A 20,616-nucleotide genomic window follows, 5' to 3' on the forward strand; every position below is an offset into this window, starting at 1 on the left:
CTTCCACTTTACCAAATTGTTTTCCAAAACACTTGTACAAATATACACTCCCATTAGAAAAACAGAGTCCCGTAACAATTTTATTACCTTAAAAGATAAGTTAAGCAAAGTATCTCCTATGCCTTCTTTTTCTTTTAAGATCTGAAGATCACTGTGCAAAGGACTAGCAGGGTCAACCCGAAGAATCACAAAACAAAAAACAGTTCAAACAAAAAGATATTTTTTTTTCAACTAACTCAAAAATGAACCAATCTGAAAGCTAAAATAGAGCACCTAGGGTAAGTTCAAGAAAGAGAAGATCTTAAGCTGCTCTATATCCTCAGGAAAAACAGAGGTCACTATAGCTTCCAGCTCCTTTAGAATGAATGTCCAAAAGAGATCATAATAGCCTAAATCTAATCTAATAAGGGGGTTCAGAGTTTGCAGTCATTCTAAAGGAAAACAGTCACATGTATATAATTTTCTCAAGAATTCAAAAGAAGTTTAATATGCTTTCCTAAACTTGTATTATTAGTCAAGCAGTTCAAGGAGAACAATTTGCCATGGACGGAACTATGAAAAGTTAAATCACTAAAAAATCGGTATTTTTCCACAACTGTCCTATATATAGATTTCTAATATGACTCCCATCCCCCACTCCCTTTTCGTTTGTTTGTTTGTTTGTTTGTTTTAAGAGACAAGGTGTCTCGCTCTCTCACCCAGGGTGGAATATAATGGTGCAATCACAGCTCATGTGCAGCCTTAACGTCTCCAAGCTCAAAAGATCTTCCTGCCTCAGCCTCCCACCATCCATAGTAGCTTGTACTACAGGTGTACTACACCGACGTATTTTAAAAGTAATAACATAACTACATCTACAATAAGAGTTAATTATATTGCTTTCAAAACTGGGGGAAAAGTCATAAAAATCAACTTGGCAATCATTCTCTGTATAATGAAATATATTACTCTTGTTTACTTTCCAACCAATATTATTCAAGCTTGAGCTTTTTCCTAGAAGATAAAAATCAAGCAAGAGTTCACTCTATCAAGAAAATGACAAAAAAATTTCGATGGACCTATAAAAACATTTCCAACACTCAACATTTCAAGAAGTAAAAAAAAAAAAAAAAAAGTCCAATTAAATGAAGCATTATGAAGTTTCAAGAGAATATAAAACTAGACACAAGTCTGGTTCGTTTCCTATTTCTTATCATCTGAAAAACTCTAGCCAACATGTTCAGACCACCATGGACTCCATGATAGCACAGAATTTAGTATGAGTCTATTCCAAACCCCAGCAATTTTTGAAAATGCTAGAAGACACTCAAGGTGACACATTACTGACTAAGAGAGACTTCCATTCATAAGACTACAAGCAAGAATATTACACAGATGGTCTAGTTCACACATTGACACACTGAGAAACACGTGTACCTACATGCAACTGGTTTCAGTTTTTCAGTGTGGGGACTTCTCTAAAGATGAAAACACATCGATATCTTATCCTAAGACTAAGTAGAAATGGAACTACTTTTTAGTCATGTGAAACTAAAGGTTTTAAAGACTGCACTATACTTTGAAAAAGAAAAAAAATCAAGTTTACGAAGATCTCACTTCCTAGATATGTAACCATGACCTCATTTCCTATCTATAAAATATGAGAAGTTTCTCCTATCTCTAAACTATGAAGAGCACCTATTTCACACAGCGGCTATGAAGACTAAATGAGAGCATCTATAAAGTATAAAGTACTTAACATAGTATCGGTCATGCAAAAGTGTTCAATAATTTATACTTGTTTTGAAGATAACTCAAACTGGAATCGATCACAAGACACGGAAAGTACAGTAACATTATTTCAAATGCTACAAACTCAGTTTTTTAAATAAGATATGAGAAATGGACTAAATTTCTTTCCTCTGGGAAAAATTACTAATTAAATTAATATATAACTAAGACTGAAGGAGGGAGAGTAATCTATCTGGTTTCAACACTTGGCATCTACTTGCCTAACAATTCATTCCCTGTTTTGGAGAACCTGTGCCCAAGACAAAGTAACTGGTCCTCGGCTTTCATGGAGTTGGTAAATAGCTCTAATACAAGGCAGGAAGTAGTAAGTGTTCAGACAATCATCTGACGTTTCCCTACTCTGTCTGAGCATTTCATGTATACACACACATCATTCTCATTGATTTTTCACAGCAGTCATCCAAAAGGTATGTACTATCTATCCATACTTTAGAGTTGAGCAAAGTGAAACCAAAAAAGGTGTGTTTGTCACCACACTCAGTGTTCCTTTCACATCCTGCCACTTCACATAAAAGAGATGTTAAGTCAAAAGAGAAGAATTAGTTTTGATTTGGTCAGAGCAGGATGGACCAAAGTCACCTTCACGAAGGAGAAATAATTTGAGTTGTGTTTTGTAGGAGAGAATGAATGTGAATATACAGATGCCACAGAAGGAAAGTAAGCAGAGAAAACAGCATAAACAGGCTGGAAAGGGGCATATACAGGGATCAGCAGGTGGTTCCAGGATGTGAACAGCAGATGAACAGGGTAAAAAGTGGCTGTTCATAGATGAGAAAGATAACCTTGGGCAAGAGAACATATGACCGTGGCTAGGGACGGTGGCTCATGCCTGTAATCCCAGCACTTTGGCAGGCTGAGGTAGGAGGATCGCGTGAACTCAGGTGTTCAAGACCAGCATGATCAACATAGTGAGACCCCATCTCTACTAAAAATCTAAAAAATCAGCCTGGTGTGGTGGCTCATGCCCATAGTCCAAGACACTTGGGAGGGTGAGGCAGGAGGATCACTGGAGCCCGGGAGATCAAGGCTTCAGTGAACTATGATTGTGCCACCGCACTCTAGCCCAGGCGACAGAGCAAGACCCTGTCTCAAAACCAATAAACATGTGACTGAATCTACCACTAAGGCAGGAATGGAGGAGAGCAGCTGAGATTGGCATGTTCATGAATTGCCTGGGATTAACTATAATTACTTAAACAAAAATCCAGGCTCTAGCTATTTATACACACTTACGCAGTTAAATGCTCTTGTCTTTCAGTCTTCCTAATTTCTCTAATATTGCCAAATTTTCTTTTTCAATTCCTTCATCCTCCAACTTTTTCCCACTAATGGGCTCTGCTTTCATCTCGTAGTGATCTAAGTCTTCTATATCCTGCAAAAAGAAGAAAAATGTTAGCTTATTCAACCTATTTTTCTTCAGCAGTTTCTTATGCCAAAAGTTAAATTATTCTTGACTCAATGGGGGACAAGAAACAGAATATATCTATCCTACGGGGAGAGAGGAAAAGCCCCCACATTCCATTCAAGAGGCTCCCACCTTCTATATCCTACATTTTATTTAAAAGCTACACTCTGGGTAAAGCAGATTTCAAAGCTTTACAAAGTCATAACTATTAAGAAATAAGCCATCATTTATTTATTTACTTCTTTAATTTTTATTTCCTTTTTTAAAACAGAGTCTCACTCTGTCACCCAGGTGGGCGTATACAGGGGTGATCTCTGCTCACTACAAACTCTGCCTCCCAGGTTCAAGTGATTCTCGTGCCTCAGTCTCCTGAGTAGCTGGGATTTCAGACACCCATCACCACGCCCAGCTAATTTGTGTATATTTTTAGTAGAGACAGGGTTGCACCATGTTAGTACCAGCCTATCTGGGGCTTTATAAAGTTAAGAAAAGAGCCTGTATGCATGCTGAAGGCTGTGTGACCACAGGGCTTTTAAAGGATGCTTCTGTGTTCCCACAGTTAGGTGGGAGCTCTTGGAAGGATCTCTTTTATCCCAGTGCTCTTGCTAAGAATGGAAAGCCCCTCTGCATAACTGCAGTAGCTGGTGCCATCCTCTGTTCACTTGCATCAGAGCCTGGGAGGTTGTGGTCTGCAAAGCTCACCTCTCATAATGGGACGCCAATCAATAGTATCCGAAGTTGATATACCCAGAAAGAGAGTTCAAAAATTATTTAGAGAGGTGGAAAATAATCACCAGTAGAATTAAAATCAGAAACGACAAAGTTGGCCAGCGGAGTGGGGAAGTCCAGATTGGGGAATGTGATGTTTCATTATAAGGTCTTTCAGCATTTGCTTGCTTTGGTCTGAGTGAAAGAATTGTCTCATTTTTTTGAGGGCCATGTACAGCAAAGGACTCACCATCTGTCAGACACACTGGTCAGTTCTGGCAAGGCAGAGTTGGAGGTTCCTGTCCTCAGGTGGGTGGGCAGGGACGGCAGCTTGCCGTAAGGTATCCAACAGCACCAGCGGCAGGAAATGAAAAGTGCTCAGTGATTGGTGGGATAGTGGTGTCTAGCACAATGATTCCTGCCAAAATCTTAATGGTGGTTGGGCATAGTGGCTCAAGCTTGTAATCCCAGCACTTTGGGAGGCCGAGGTGGGTGGGTCACTTGAGGTCAGGAGTTCAAGACTAGCCTGGCCAACATGGTGACACTCTGTCTCTACTAAAAAAATACAAAAATTAGCCGGGCGTGGTGGCACGCACCTGTAATCCCAGCTACTCGGGAGGCTGAGGCAGGAGAATTGCTTGAACCTGGGAGGCAGAGGTTGCAGTGAGCAAAGATTGTGCCACTGCACTCCAGGCTGGCCAACAGAGTAAAACTCCATCTCAAAAAAAATAAACAAATAAAGCCACAAAAACAAACAAACAAAAAAACCCAATGGTGTGCAATAAATGAAAATGCTGCCCCAGTCAGACGGGACTAGCATTTTTCAGCAACTTTCAAGGTCTTGTGTCACAAGAATGAAGATCCGAGTATTTCCCACCTGTGGAGGGGGCTGGTGAAGGAGTTTTCAGTCCCGGGCACCCTGGGCTGTGCTGAAAGCCTCTGCGTCACACTGCGTGAGTTAGCTGGGAAAGAGAGCTCCCACTGTTCTCTTTTAACCCTTGTCCTTTTGTACCACAGCAATTGCTTTCCTGGAGATCAGAACCGTGGCTGGGTTTAACATCATCTTTGGAAATCCTAAAAGGCAATGAAGCAATTTTTCTCTTTTCATTTATATATTTTTTTGATACAGCTGTGTCAGTTTGAAATTTTACTTTCGTATCAGTTCTAATAGTGTGTCTGCTTGACATAGTTTCTATTAAATGGGCTTGATATGAAGTTACTTAAAAATTCAAGTATTTAGAGTTTCAGGGCCCATCGTCTTGATTTTTGGGGCAATACCTCAATTTCATACTGTGTTATTCTTTTCCAGAGAGATGGGTCACTGAATAACTTACATTTTATGATTGTTTTATGAGAAACTATTTCTGGTTACAAATGGTAAACATCTAGGTTTTGCAGTAAGAAATAATGGATTATGTTAGAAAAAAAGAACCATAAGAAGATGTGTTTTTAATTTTGACTTCCTGTAAGTACCTTCTGGAGCAGAAGGTTTTCTCTTTGTGGATTCTGCATCTTGGATTTGGGGACTCTGTTGCACTGAGCTGTGCTCTGTGGGGAGGAGCCTGTGGCAGAACAGTTTGGGTTCTGCTGGCCGCCTTTCCCTCTATTCACGGAGTCTGGGTCCCAGAGAAAGATGACAGCAGTTAGGTCTTGTTGGGAAAAAAACGCGGCTACCAACCCTGGACCATTTTGCTTCCCCTGAACAAATAAGATAGTCATTTGCCTACTTTTGGGGACGGTGCCTGTGCTTTGCACAGGACGAGGTGGCAGCTGGCTTGCCTGCTGGCCTGCTTCCTGGAGATAGGATGCTCAGACCCACCGCTGCTCTTCAGGGGTCGTGGAAGGAATTAATGCACTTCCTTCTGTCCCCCAATCTCTGTCCCTTTACGTGTCTCTGGAGCTGAGCAGGTATTCTTTTTCTTTCTTCATCTCAGTAGAGCTGTTAAATTAAATAGATGTTGCTTAAGCCATTCAGAAAGGTTTCACATTTTAAAAAACAAAAGGTAGCTGCTGCCATGATTCCTTTGCCCACCGCTACACCGTGTCGTTGTAGGACAGTCCCCACTTGGCTGTGCTGAGCCTGTCTGGAAGTGTTTCTGATTCTAATCAGAAGTGGAACAGTTTCAGTGCAGACTATAGGTTCATGTTAGTGATGAACTTGGGTGGAGATGGGGACACAGCTTGTTCTTTCCTCCTGGACTCTCATCCAGGGTCCTGAGCTGCCAGGGGCCTGGCCACTCTCACCCTGAGCCCTGCCCTGGCTGAGCTGATCACCGCTGCATGTCCCAGCTGCCGGTCTGCCTGTCACCTGCAGTGCACATGTGTGCATGTGTGTGCATACGTACATGCACCACACACATACCATGCCCACCTCATACACACCACACACATACCCCATACACACCACACACCAACCACACACATTACACACACTGCATACATATCACACACCACAAACACTACACCACGCACACAAAACATACATACACGCTCAAGCCTTCCACACTACATTACACTCCACACACACCACACATCACACTCCACACACACCACACGCACATATCACATTCACATCACACCACACCACATACCACACACCATACACAGTACACTCCACACACCACACCCTCCAGGACGTCCCACCACCATACACACACAAACACCACACACCCACACCATACTACACATTTACCACATACACACCACACACACTGTATCTCATGAACACACCACACACCCCCGCCACACACATTTGCATGCAAACTACTCATTGAATGAAACCGAATGATTTAGTTTTCCCCAAATTAATACTGCCTGCCTGTGCACCCCTGGCTGTCCTGGCCGGCACATCCCCCGGTCCTGCCCTCCCTTGGGTCAGCACCGCCTCCTGTGTCTCAGGTGTCTCTGGCTGTGCCCTGTGGCGTGCTCATGTCCTGATCTTGTGGGAGGCTGGCTCCTCTGCTCCAGTGGCTGCCTTCCTAGAGGAGACCAGCTTGTTTGTCACCTCTCCTGATGCCCAGAGCAGCAGCCCACGGGGGAAGTCCTGCTTCCTCCCTTCGCTGTCTGCCCTTCCCCACAGGTTGTTTTGTCTCAGTGCTGATATCTCCCCAGCTAGAAGAGGAGACCCTCAAAGGTGCACAGGTGGATTTGATTATAATGCAGGTGAATATTAAATGCGTTTTGGTGAAACACTCAACCACTACATACATCTTTAATAAAGTAAAATGTCCAGGCCCCCTCTGCTCCCACCTCTCTCTCCCCTCCCACCTCTCTCCCCCCTCCCACCTCTCTCCCCCCTCCCCTCCCCAGAGGACGTGGCTGACAAGCCTTTGAGGGGTTTCCCCTTTCTGTGTGCCTTTGCGTGTATGTATGGGCTGGGCGGTGTGTGTATTCTCTAGACATCTTGACGGACCTGTAACTGGGATCTACACACGTGCGCTTGCTGTAGCTCACTTGCCATTTTCCCTCAAAAATAGGCCTGTAAAATCCCTCACTGTAGTACGTGTTGCCCTGCCTCTTTAAAAATGCCACCAACTCTTCCAGCACGTGAACTCTGCCGTCATTTTTTTAAACATTCTCTTATTTATGGGTACTTAGGTTGTTTCCAGTTTTTTAAGAGATTGCGGCAATGAAAATCTTCAGCTATCATTTTTCACAGTGCTGTGGGAGAACGTGGTTGGAGGTGCTGTGGCGGTGGAGTGGCCCCACACGTGGCCAGGCTTTGTGGGGTTCTGACTCTGTCCTTGCCAATGTTCCTCCACACAGTGGCTGCCTCTGGGGAATGATGGCTGTGTGAGCGCCCGCCATGCCCCACCAGAAGAGTCTACCATGGCCCACCGGAAGCGTCTACCATGGCCCACCAGAAGCGTCAGAGCGCGGGGAGCAGCATGTTGGACCACAGGGCAAGGCCGGGTCCTGTCCCCCACCACCAGGAGCCCGAGAGCGAGGACGTGGAGCTGCCCTTGGAGGACTATGTGCCCGAGGGCCTGGAGCTGGTCACCCTGCGGCCAGAGAGCCCCACGCCCAAGAAGCAGGAGTGCCACAACCACAGCCCCGATGGGGACTCCAGTTCCGACTACGTGAACGACACCTCTGAGGAGGACGACTATGATGAGGGCCTCCCTGAGGAGGAGGAGGGCATCCCCTACTACATCCGCTACTGCCCTGAGGACCAAAGCTACCTGGAGGGCATGGACTGCAATGGGCAGGTGTACCTGGCCCACGGCGCGCATCCTATGGACACTGACGGGTGCCAGGATGCAGTGGACTGGACGGCCTGGGCGGGCCTGCACCCCCATGGTCACGGGGCTAAAGGTAGCCAGGACTACCCTGATGGCCAACTGCCCATCACGGAGGATGTGTCCTCCGTCCTGGAGGCCCACGACCAGGAAGAAGACGGTCACTACTGTCCCAGCAAAGAGGGCTACCAGGACTACTACCCTGTGGAGGCTAACGGGAACACCAGCGCTTCTGCCTACCCCCTGAGGTGCGGGGACGGGGACCTGGAGGACCAGGAGGAGGACATCGACCAGATCGTGGCAGAGATCAAGATAAGCTTGAGTATGACCAGCATCACCAGCACCAGTGAGGCCATCCCCGAGCATGGACCTGAGCCAGGGCCTGCGGACTCTGCAGAGGGCTGCCCACCCATCAAGGCCAGCTGCAGCCCCAGCAGGCAAGAGGCGAGGCCCAAGTCGCTGAACCTCCTTCCCGAGGCCAAGCACCCCGGAGACCCCCAGAGAGGCTTCAAGTCCAAGACCAGACCCCAGAAGAGAGGCTGAAGTGGCCTCACGAGCAGGTAGGACTCTAGCTGTCCCGGGGAAGGGAGCAGAGGGGCCCTAGAGCAAGGGACCTCAGGGTACAGGCCTCGCAGATGCTGAAGCGAGGCGGTGGGGGGTGCTGGGTGCCTTACAGTTCTAATGGTGGCTGAGCTCTTCATTGGTCCAGTTGGGAGACATGTTGCGTGGATGCTCCGGCCACTCTTAAGCTCACCGCTCAGACTCAGGACTAAAGCCGGTTGAGGGCTGAGGGGCAACTCGTGTCTCGCAGAAGACACCCCTCCTCCCACCCTAGAAGACAGGTTCAATTTCTTGCCCACTGCCCTGGGTCTGCTCATGGTGGGGCAGTATGTGTGGGAGAGCCCCTCAATCCTCAGGGGTGTACTCAGACCAGCAGGGCAGTGGCAAAGACGTGGGGGTGCTGGTGCTCACCCACTGCTGCGGCCAGTGTTGGGTGGCCTGGTGGCTGGGGTCGGGGCCAGAGTGCATTTCACAATGGACGGGTGTCTGAAAGCTGGGGGGCCTTGGCCTGACGGGCAATCAGCTGTGAATACCTATTTGGAAAAGGATTTTTTGACGGTGTGACAAAACCTCGGGGAAGAAACGCATGCTAATGAGGGCAGTGGATGTCAGCATAACTGTATTTTAATTATAGCAAAGTCAGCGTGCATTCTAATAAACACATTTGAAAAGCCGCCTTCCAAAAAAAAGCCTCACTGTGAGTATATATTATAGAAGATGTGATTATTGGACTCGGGTGAAGGAACTTCTATTTGGCCAATTATGTGGACTGCTTTCATATTTTTTAAAGCTTTAACTACTATTTTTTTCTGAGAAGAATTCATGAATGTGTGTGTGTGTGTGTGTGTGTGTGTGTGTGTGTCTGTGTACTGAGAGCTTGGGTTTGGAATGGAAATCATATTGACTCCTGGATTTTCAGCACTTGTATCTTAATGTCTTGTCTTCTCTCTAGAACACATTGTGTCAGTTGACTTCACTTTGGGGCTGTTCCTGTCATTCACAGCAATTCTGTGTTTACAGGGGGCTGTGGGATGCATAGGAAGTCCTATGGTGATGGCAGGCATGGGAATTTTACCCCAAGGGACTATGGTAATAGGGGGCTGACCAAGAATAACTCCTAATCCTATGTCACATAATACCATGAGCAGCTCAGGAAAACTACGCACAACTCAGACATGTGCAGAAAGGAGATGTGGAATGAAATGGAGCCCCCTGGCCTTATAGAGGCCTCCAAGACCTGCCACACCCACGTCTGCCCCCAACTCCCCAGTCAACCTTCAGAGAAGAGAAGGTGATCTCTCTCCAGCTGAGACCAAGCCAAGGCCCAAACTGTTGTAGCTGAAGGATGTTTGGGCTAGGCTCATAGAAGCTGTTCCACTCCTGCAGTGTCAACAGCTGCCTGTGGTCCAGGCTTCTGTCTGGTCCTGGGTTTTTTTTTTTTTTTTTTTGAGATGGAGTCTTGCTGTGTTGCCCAGGCTGGAGTGCAATGGCGTGATCTCAGCTCACTGCAATCTCTGCCTCCCGGGCTCAAGCAGTTCTTCTGTCTCAACCTCCCGAGTAGCTGGGATTACAGGCACCCGCAATCATGCTCGGCTAATTTTCATATTTTTGTAGAGACAGGGTCTCACCATGTTGGCCAGGCTGGTCTAGAACTCCTGACCTCAGGTGATCCACCCACCTCAGCCTCCCAAAATGCTGGGGTTACAGGTGTTAGCCACCGCACTCAGCCTTGAAGAGACACTGGGCCTTTTAAGAGACACTGGGTGCTGACTCACTTCTGGGTCTGCCCCATGGGTGGCCCACCGGGTCTGCTCTGGGTGCAGCCAGGCTGTGCACGTCAGGGAGCCTGAGCTGGACTTAAGGTGGGGAGACATCGCTCCCCAAGAGCTGCTCGGGTGCGACATCAGGGTGGAGGCTGTTGCTGTGTGTGGCGGCATCACTCATTTACCCTCGTCTCATCAGCCTCTGTCCTTCGGCTCATCTGCTTGCAGGTGGCCTCTGATTCTGCCTCTGGAGCCTGTCTGCCCCCTCTTGATTCATTCATTGGGTCCCAAATATGTGAACAATAGCATGCTAGCCACTTTTAGAAATATTTGTGTTCATCTTCAAGAGAGGGGGGTCATCCAGCCATTCCCCAGCCCTCAAAACCCACTCCACAGACAAAGCAGTGGCGGGTCAGGGCTCCTCTTGCTCTTCTGAGCCGCTGGCATAGCGAACACGGTACAAAAGAAAAGGATTTCACATGCAATAGAATTTCATTCACCCTGAAAAGGGAAGGAAATTCTGACACAGGCTACAATATGGATAAACCTTGAGGACATCCTGCTAGAGCCAGTCACAAAAGGACAAGTACTGTGTGATTCCACTTCTCTGAGGCACCCACAGTAGAGTCACAGAGACAGGAAGTAGAATGCGGGTGGCCAGGGGCTGGAGAGAGCAGGGAGTGGGGAGCTGGTGTTTAATGGGTGCAGAGGTTCCGTTGTGAAGATGGAAAAGTTCTGGAGATGCATGGTGGTGAAGACGGCACAACAGTGTGAATGTACTTAATGCCACTGAACTCTACACCTAAAAATGGTTAAGATGATAAATTTTACATTATGTATATTTACCACAATAAAAGAAATAAGAAATAAAAGGTTTTTGGATGATGAACGGGCTCGAGCCAATTTGGACCCTCTAAAGCTAAGTTGAGCCAGGCTGAACCCATGTAGCCAGAATCATACTGGATTAGGCTGTTCTAGCACTTCACGTGGTGAGAATGGGGGAGAGAGAGAGAGATTGATTGATCAGGGGGCTGTGCAGGGGGCGTGCTACACACTTGTAAACAGCCAGATCTCTTGTGAACTCAGAGCAAGAGTTCACCTATCACCAAGAGGATGGCCCAAGTCATTCATGAGAGATTTGCCCCATGATCCAGACACTTACCTCCCACCAGGCCCCACCACCAGCATTGGGGATTGCATTTCAATATGAGATTGAGGTGGGGACAAATATCCAAACTGTATCACCCACAAAGAAGCAAAAACATTTTGGGCCAAATCAAAACTATTTTGATGTAGCCACAGTAGGGATGAGCTGTGATTACACCCATTCAGGCCTGTGGACCTGCGGACCTGGCGTGTGTGGTCGTGGGGCGGTGGGTGGGCACATCCCTGGGAGGTTTCAGGAGGACATTCAAGACCAAAATGAGCCATGAGTAAATAATACAACCACATCCTGAGTGGGAGTGGGGGAGCCTCCCCTTCTCTCCTAGGTCTTGTATGGGTCATGATCCCACCTTGGCAGGAGTGGAAGGAACACAGATCCTACAGGTTGTGGCTTATAGTAAAGTGACTGTGGTCATGCCTTGTGAGTGTCATTAAAATAAACAGATATCGTTAAATCCACTATCAAATAACAGCGATTTCTGCTATCCTTTCACCTTTTCCACAAGTTTAAATATCCCAGATATTCTACTGTGTATATTCCTAAAAGTAGACAGGTAGATTTAGTGAAGTTAACTGGATCATTGGTATCTTCTTTATAGATCATCTGGTGAAACTTGTTTTGCAAATTATGAGTTGTAGGCCTTTGTTTTAATGTCTGTAGCCTTAGGCAGTTCCATTGAGACTAACTCAGTTTTTTTCTTATTAGGACTAATCTTATTGACCGGAACTGTGGACTCCCCGTATTAGGAGAACAGAGATCTGGCCTGTGTAAATGAGTGGAAGTTAAATACTGTAGAAAATGCCCTCTGGAAACTGAAATCTAATGCTGACTTACTATTGGTCATTTAATTTCCTTCTGGCTTGGGCACCATCGTTACATTCATTTTTCAGATGTCAAGCTAGTTTTCTCAGAATGTGTGCAGGGCTCGAGGCCGAGTGTGGAGGCCACTGGGTGAATACAGGAGAGGTCACAGGTCAAGCCTCCTGCGAGAACTGCAGGCTTGAGCCTTCGATAGAGCCACGTGAATGATTTTTAGCCCCACTAGGTTGCTGTCATTAAACTATGCACACAGGGCTTCTTGCTTTTAAGTTAGCAGGATGGAAAAATTGCAGGTGTTTGCAGCAAACATGAAGAACCAGCCATGCTGGCCCCTAAGCAATGGTATTACAAAGGGTTGGTGAAGATTTTCTCATTTGAGAACTGAACAAAACCAAATGGAATTCTCCCTAGTTCTGCAGCTCTGGGGGCTGTAAGCGGCGGAGCTTCCACCTTCCCTACAAACGGACCCAGAGTGGCACCTGGTATGTGAGGCAGGTGACCAGGAGAAGGGGGTGTCAGTGGTTGATGGGCAGCTGCCTCTGCTGCCTGGTTGACCCAGCCCCTTCCTGGGTCATCTCCCACTTTGCCTGGGTGTCAGTCACTGGAGGGTTAGCGCAGTACAAGCTGGCGGGTGACCTCCGTAGAGCTTAGGTGAAGGGGCTCTCACAGGGCAGTATGTTTGAGACCCTTAGAGGGCTCTCCTTACTCTTGCTTCTCCCATTATTTTTAAATTGTAGTAATACACTTGTAACATAAAGTTTACCACTTTAAAGTGTACAATTCAGTGGCATTTAGTACAATGTTGTGCAACCACCTCTGATATTTAGTTCCAGAACATTTTCACTGCCCCCAGAGGAGACCCTGTACTTATTAAGCAGTCACTCCTCATTCTTCCCTCTCCCCGCAGCCCCCACAATGAAAAATCTGTTTTCTCACTTTGGATTTGCCTATTCCGGATATTCCATAAAGACGGGATCAGACAATATGTGCCCTTTAGTGTCTGGCTTATTTCACCAACATAATGTTTTCAGGGTTCATCCCTGTTGTAGCACGTGTCAGTACTTCGTTCATTTCTGTGGCTGAATGATATTCCACTGAATGGCTATGTTTTTATTTTCATTTTTACTTTTTGAGATGGAGTTTCACTCGTCGCCCAGGCTGGAGTGCAGTGGTGTGATCTCGGCTCACTGCAGCTGAAGGGCTATATTAAGTTTCATTTATCCATTCATCCACTGAGGGACATTTGAGTTGTTTCTACCTTTTGATTAATGTGAATTCTGCTGCTGTGACCATGTGTATACAAGCTTTTGGGAAATTTTATTTGGCTAGTCGTAACTTTAAGTTTTGTTTTGGCTATTTATTGTTGCTTAACCAATTATCCCAAAACTTAATGGCATAAAACGGCAAATTTGTCTCTCTCTCACTATTGTATGGGTTAATGGGCTAGCTGGACAGTTTTTCTGCTGGTCTCATTTGGCAGCTCTCACTGTGCAGTTAGACAGTGTCAGGGACTGGTCGTCTGGATGCTCAGCTGCAGTGGAACGTCTGAGACGGCTTCTTCACCCACAGGTCTGCTGCCTTGGTGTTTCTTCATGTGGCCTTTCTACATAGCATCTCATACTCTTGGCCCTCTTCATGTAGCTTCTCTTTCTCCAAGAGGATAGTCAGTTCTTCTTTTTGGCTTCCAGAAGCACAAAAGTGCAAGCTGTCAGATGTTCTTAAGGCTTAGACCTAGAACAGGTCCAGTTTCATTTCTACCACATTCTATAGGTTAAAGGAAGTCTCGGAGCCAACCTTGATTCACTGTGGAATGGGCCCTTCCGAGGACCTGAATGACAGGAGTTGTGGCTCATTGGGGACCAACTCCAAAGATGAAGCCTGAGTTCTGAGAACTTTTTCTTCTCTGATTACTCCTTATTCATATTTTATGTTTTGTTTTATAGATGTAATATATTCACAAGTGTCTTTAAGGAGCTATTTTGATACTCTTTTGTCCTCTCCCTAGCAGGTCTTTTTTCTTTAATAATTTTTTTCTTAGTTTATTTTGGTCTTAGTTTTCTTTCAAAAGCCTTTCCCAAAATATCTATTCTATGTTGCTCATCATTTGTCATCTTTTTTAAAATGCCCCCTTTTGTTCATTCATATTTGAGAGAAGGACTAAAAGACTGACTGGGAGGCTGGGTGTGGTAGCTCACATCTATAATCTCAGTGCTTTGGGAGGCTGAGGTGGGAGGATCACTTGAGCCCAGGAGCTCAAGACTAGCCTGGGCAACACAGTGAGACCCCCATCTCTAGAAAAAATAAAAATTAGCCGGATGTGGTGGTGCCCGCCTGTAGTCCCAGCTACTCAGGAGGCTGAGGTGGGAGGACTGCTTAAGCCCAGGAGATTGAGGCTGCAGTGAGCTATGATCATGCCACTGCATTCCAGCCTGGGCGAAAGAGTGAGACATTGTCTCAAAAAATAAATAAATAAATAAATAAATAAAAAAGAAGTTTGGGAGTTCTTTCTGGCCAAGACTTGTCAACTGATAGCTTTTAGGGGAAAGGGTTTTTAGGGGGAATTTATGCTGATTCCCAATTGTTATCCCCACCCCTCTATCTTATCTCTTTGCGCAATCATAAATGATGGCAGGAACTACTCCATTCCTCTGGAGGTGAAATCTACGTTCTCTTGCCTGAGGTAGATACATGTTTGCTGGGGTTCTGCTTAAGGAAATGTGGGAGAACAATGTGTTTCAGGGCCTGGAAAATGTGTTCTGTATGTAGGCTTTTGGTTAATCTGTTTTCAGTCTTGCCTATCAGTCCCACTCTCCGGGGTACCTGGTGTCGGAGTCTAGTGCCTCTGCAGGGTACTGTGGGACAAATTAGCCTCCTTGTTATCGGTATCCCCCTAACCTCCACCTTTGTTTGCTTTGCTTCATTAATTAACCATTTCCCATTTACTGTCATTGTCTATTGGAGGTGAATTCTCTTCTCTTGGTAACCCCATCCCTTTTTTTTTGTAATTGTGTGTGTTTATACAATCTTTATTCTTCACTGTAATTCCCATGGAGCCTCAGGAAAAAGAGCAGATGGGAGAAATACGTGTTCAGTGTTCAGTTTTCCTTCTGTAAGACACCTGCAACCTGTGTTTTTCACAGAATAGACCATGGACTTAAAGCATAAAGAGCTACTTTGTTTTTCATGATTGTGCCTTCAATTCTATGTAGAAATATAATCTGTGAATTACCTGATGAAATTTTCCTAATTTTGAATCATCCTTGTATTTCTATAATAAACACTGTTAGAATGCATACGGTAGTGTTTTATTTTTGCATTTTTACTTTTATATTAAATAAGATTATAGTTTTGTTTCCTTCCTTCTAGGCTCTTATTTCATTTCCGTACCAATGGTATGCAGGGCTGACTTGGGAAGCTTACATGTTTTTCTAAGATCTAGGATGTAGCTCTAGTTTACACAGTAATTTTCAACTGAAGGAGATTTTTGCCCCCCATGGGATGTTTGGAAATAATCTGGAGACATTTTCGGTTGTCACAACTGGTCATGATGGGAGGTGCTATTGGCATCTCTTGGGTAGAGGGGGTGTTACTAAACGTCCTACAACACACAGGAGAACCCTCCACAAATTGTCTGGCCCAGTATATACACATCGCTGAGGCTGAGAAACCCTGGTTTAAATAAATGTCCAATTTGGAGAGTGAGTCTTTGACTGCCATTTTTCTTCTTCTATGTGTTGGTCTCCAGATTTCCCACTTTTTCAGTTAGTTGTAGTAACTGTAGATTCTTTAAAAAAAAAAAAAAAAAGGATTGCTTCATCTTTACTTCTAGGCTGCTGTAAAGATGTATAAGGTTTTCACTTTTTGCATCATATTCACATTAGAAACAGCTGAGTTTTGGAGGGAACACATTCAAACGGTAGCAAATTTAGTAGAGCAAATTCCAAAGACATTGAGTCTAGGCCAGTTGTCAGTCCTGGGTATAATTTTAGATGTTTTCAGGCTCTGAAGCTTTCCATTTAAATGCAAATTTCGGAACAAAGATCTGTGTCTCTGCACTGACCAAATAGAAGGTATGTGAATGTTATGGTCTTGATTGTTTTACAAGATTTTTTCTGCAGGTACTTTTGCAAGTGTGTAGGGAGAGATGAGAAGTTCCAAGGAAAAGGGTGTGAGGTCTTTGGGGCCAGCTTTGAGCTGGCAAGGCTAAATTATAGGAAGAAGGCAGAGAGGTGGGCAGAGACCAGATGTGGGAGGACTTCCTGTGTCATGCCACGGAGTCTGGACTCCACCCTGTAGGTGACGGGAGCCAAGACAGGGCTTGGCACAAACACATGGCACATTTGTGGTTAAGAAACGTCTTCCTTGCTTCCTTGTGGCCTTGAGGGATGAATTAAGGGGCTGGAAAACCGGGAGCAGGACGGCCTGTGCCCATGGTTCAGGTGAGAGCCGGGTGGGTGGCAGGGGCTACGGAGAAGGCGGTTGAGTTTAGCCCCAGTTCCCAACAGGTGCTGTGGGGAGGAAGAATTTCCAGCTGCCAGGTCAGCCTCTTAGATCCATTTCTCTTTTTTTTTTTTTTTTTGAGACGGAGTCTCACTCTTGTCGCCCAGGCTGGAGTGCAATGGTGTGATCTTGGCTCACTGCAACCTCCGCCTCCCAGGTTCAAGCAATTCTGTGGCCTCAGCCTCCCTAGTAGCAGGGATTACAGGCGTCCGCCACCACGCCTGGCTAATTTTTGTATTTTTGTAGAGACAGGGTTTCCCCATGTTGGCCAGGCTGGTCTCGAACTCCTGACCTCAGGTGATCCACCCGCCTCGGCCTCCCAAAGTGCTGGGAATACAGGCTTGAGCCACCGCGCCCGGCCCTTGGATTAATTTCTTCATGCTTAAAATGAAGGAAACGTGAATCATTGATAAGGTGTCCCCTCTTTAACAAAGCAACAGATGGTTTATCAGGGCCTCTCTTCGCAGGCAGTGGGGCCTCATCCACAACCCTGGAAAAGAACTGGAAAGCGTTGCTCAGCCAGGTACGGAGGGCAGGGCCATGTGGGACTCCCGTCTCCAGGCCCCCTCTCCCCAGCTCCCGTTTCTTTCTTTCTTTCTTTCTTTCTTTTTTTTCTGAGACGGAGTTTCTCTCTTGTTGCCCAGGCTGGAGTGCATGTTGCTGTGCACTTTGAGGGCAGGAACTGGCTCCTGCTCCAGTTTGCATCCTCTGCGCCCGGCACCAGGCCCGTCTGCTCAATGCAGGATAAGCAGGTAGCTTCGGGCTGTCCACCCAGCCCTTGCAGAGGGTGGAGCTACAGAGAGCATGAGTGGCCAAGATGAAGCCCTCATTGGATTCTTTGACTCTTTCTACTATGTGAGATATTCTTGATGTCTGAGGGATGAACGGCAAACAAAGTGTGGCCTACCCATACAATGGGGACAGTAGTTAGCCCTAAGAAGGAAGGAAGTTCTGACGCACGCTACAACACAGGTGGGCCTTGAGAACGTCACGCTAAGTCAAAGAAGCCAGTTGGAAAAAGACAAATGATTGTATGATTTCACTCACATGTGGCACCTGGAGTCGTCAAATTCAGAGACAGAAAGTAGAATGGTGGCTGCCAGGGGCTGGGGGAGGCGGAAAGGGGAGTTAGCGGACACAGAGTTTCAGATTGCAAGATGAAGAAAGTTCTGGAGATGGATGGTGGTGATGGCTGCACAACACTGTGAGTGTATTTAATGCCACAGAATCATACACGTAGAAGTATTTCAGATGGTAAATTTCATCTTTTGTGTATTTACCATAATTTTTAAAAACTAAGAAAATTAAGATATCCTTGATGTCAGATGCCAGGAGAGCGGTGTCAGGCATCTCACCAGCCGATTCTCCCAGAAGTTTTCCTCCATCGGGTAACCACGAGCCTGGGGTATCACAAAGAGAAGCCTCAGTGTAAAATCAACAATCTCAGTGGAGTGGCTTCATCAGGGAGTGACAGGGGCGTGATTTACTACTGGAGGACAAGGCAGCAGGCAGGGAAGATGGCCCAAGCCTGCTTTGAACTGTAAGGAGCACGCAGAACCTCTTATCCAGACCCGGAGGGCTGCCCTGTTGACAGCACAAGCAGCTCAGGGCCAGCGGCGCAGGAAAACCCCAGGGTCCAGCCAGGTCACGGGCACAGGCCTGCACTCACGGGTCACTGCAGTGAGGATGGAGGTGTCACTGCAAATGCGTAAGAGGATATTTTCAGCAATAGTAAAATTTTTAACAGATTTTAGAAATGAAAGGGTTCCCCCTGCATATGTCAAGAACCTGAGTTTCTTTCTGAAACTTGGGTGGGACCCTTTAGAGTTGCTTCAAATAGAAAACACACCATCGGCGGCCACTCCCCTGAGGAAAGGCAGACTTCATGGCTGAAAGCGTCACCCGAGTGCTCCCGGTTTTCAGCATCACACGGAGTGGCTCAGGTGCCCATTCATTTTATGAGTCAGCCTGGGGAGAGTACCCACAGATTCGGAGTCACATCTCTGATGGGACACAAGCTCTACCCTTTCCAAGCATTGATGATCCTGAGGTTGATCAATACTGAGCATTGATGTCTGTGAAAACAAATCACTTAGGTGCAGAGACACCGCAATGACCATCCCGCCGGGGGCAACCGCCTGATTCCTTCCACATCCTGGTCAACATCCCTGGCCAACAGGGCAGCCCACGGACAGCTGCTCTGCCTGGCTCCTGCTGAAAAGCCAACAGCACAACAACTCTGCCCTCCATACAAAACCACATGGGCCCTCGAGATCACACTGGGGCGCCCCCTTTGCCCCCACTTCCTTGGGCTGTGGCTGGCCTGTCTGACATTTGCTCTGGGAGATGAGCCAGGGTCTGCCCAGGCCACCACGGGGGCAGAGACGTGAAACAGGCTTCAGCTACTAATTTTCCATTAAACGACAAGAAAATCGGCTATTGTGAGAAGAGTCACATGAAGGTACCCAAAAGTTGTCACAGTCCACTCACTCGAAATAAAACCCATCCCATTAGGAACACTGTCATTGCAGCCCATCTCCAGCACTCTGCTCTGTATAAAAGACTGACTGTGGCAAGATAAGGGTTTAAAATTGAAAATCAAAGAGCCATTCCTCAGTGATACCCAGGAAATGACGCACACGGGCTGATATTAAACCCACCCACACCAAGAATCCTAAAAGTTAACGTACAGATTACTCGTTTTCAAGCAACACACAATGATACAAGTAAGTCCTCAAGAAGACTGCATGGGTTGAGGCACTGGACTTCTAATCATGCCATCTCTCAGCTCAGGGGTCCACGACAAAGCTAACCCCACTGAGATGAAAAGCCACTTACCCCTTTTTCATCACTCGCAATACAAATTTCAGAACCCATCCCAAACTGGAAGGAAGGATACGACTGAAACTCAACTCATGCCCAGCTAACCTGGGAAGTACACCCTCCTCAGATAATGGAGACCCACCAATTCCCGGGTGTCAGACGTCACACAACCTCTTCTCCCACCAGGGCTGGGGACCCTCAGGAAAGTCAGGTGTCCCTGAGAAACACCCGGCAACATGCAGAACCACAGAGACAGGAGGCAAGGTTCCAGACAAATACACCCAGTAGACAGTTAAAGATTTCAGAGCTGGAGAGAGCTTAGGACACCCCGATTCTCAGACTGCAGACAGCAGGTGGACACCACTGAGCTGGCGACAGCCCCAAAAGAGGTCAGCTTGACTGCGACGAGGGGACGTCTTCATTATCTGTCCAGTGCTCTCTGACATCACCCCACCCCGCCTCCTGTAGCAGTGTTCTATCTACATGAAATTAACCTCACGTATAAAACATATTCCTGGTTCATTGGCAAACAGGCAGCTCTGAGCAGCACATTCAGAAGTTGCCAACTTTGGGAGGCAGAGGAGTTCGAGATCAGCCTGGGCAACATGGTGAAACCCCATCTCTAGGAAACATTTATAAGTCAGCTGGATATGGAGGCACGTGCCTGTGATCCCAGCTACTCTGGAGGCTGAGGTGAGAGGATCACTTGAGCTCAAGTGGTCAAGGCTGCAGTGAGCCAAGATCACACCACTGCACTCCAGTCTGAGCAACATAGTGAGATCCCGTCTCAAAAAGAAAAGAGGTTGCCAGATTAATCCAGTACACACTTCTTTAATCCCGTAG

At 46.6% G+C, this 20,616-nt stretch overlaps 1 protein-coding gene and 1 pseudogene across 14 annotated transcripts in view, besides 2 other annotated features; one reads left to right on the plus strand and one right to left on the minus strand.

The window, feature by feature from the left end:
- GOLGA8A (golgin A8 family member A) overlaps nucleotides 1-20,616 on the minus strand; it is a 58,741-nt gene that overhangs the window by 22,825 nt on the left and 15,300 nt on the right. For 7 of the 14 annotated variants that reach the window (NR_164784.1, NR_027409.2, NM_001368072.2 and 4 more), the window contains 3 exons: nucleotides 5,632-5,843; nucleotides 4,782-4,978; nucleotides 3,025-3,163 (listed from right to left, as the gene is read on the minus strand). The gene's annotated coding sequence lies outside the window, so the exon portion shown is untranslated. Of the gene's footprint in view, nucleotides 1-3,024; nucleotides 3,164-4,154; nucleotides 4,979-5,377; nucleotides 5,521-5,631; nucleotides 5,844-20,616 lie in introns of those variants that run through there. The other 7 variants (XM_047432258.1, XM_047432256.1, XM_047432262.1 and 4 more) reach the window with 5 other exon arrangements.
- Nucleotides 7,662-8,758, plus strand: LOC100422491 (amyloid beta precursor protein binding family A member 2 pseudogene; annotated as a pseudogene).
- Nucleotides 16,361-16,861: an enhancer, noted in NCBI's record as "H3K4me1 hESC enhancer chr15:34710454-34710954 (GRCh37/hg19 assembly coordinates)". NCBI's record gives its function as "activates a minimal SCP1, AML or CMV promoter by ChIP-STARR-seq in primed H9 embryonic stem cells {active_cell/tissue: H9 hESC(primed)}" and the evidence as "EXISTENCE:reporter gene assay evidence [ECO:0000049][PMID:30033119]".
- Nucleotides 16,862-17,362: an enhancer, noted in NCBI's record as "H3K4me1 hESC enhancer chr15:34710955-34711455 (GRCh37/hg19 assembly coordinates)". NCBI's record gives its function as "activates a minimal SCP1, AML or CMV promoter by ChIP-STARR-seq in primed H9 embryonic stem cells {active_cell/tissue: H9 hESC(primed)}" and the evidence as "EXISTENCE:reporter gene assay evidence [ECO:0000049][PMID:30033119]".

This window comes from Homo sapiens, chromosome 15, assembly GCF_000001405.40.
Source record: "Homo sapiens chromosome 15, GRCh38.p14 Primary Assembly".
In the NCBI taxonomy this organism is placed as follows: domain Eukaryota; kingdom Metazoa; phylum Chordata; class Mammalia; order Primates; family Hominidae; genus Homo; species Homo sapiens.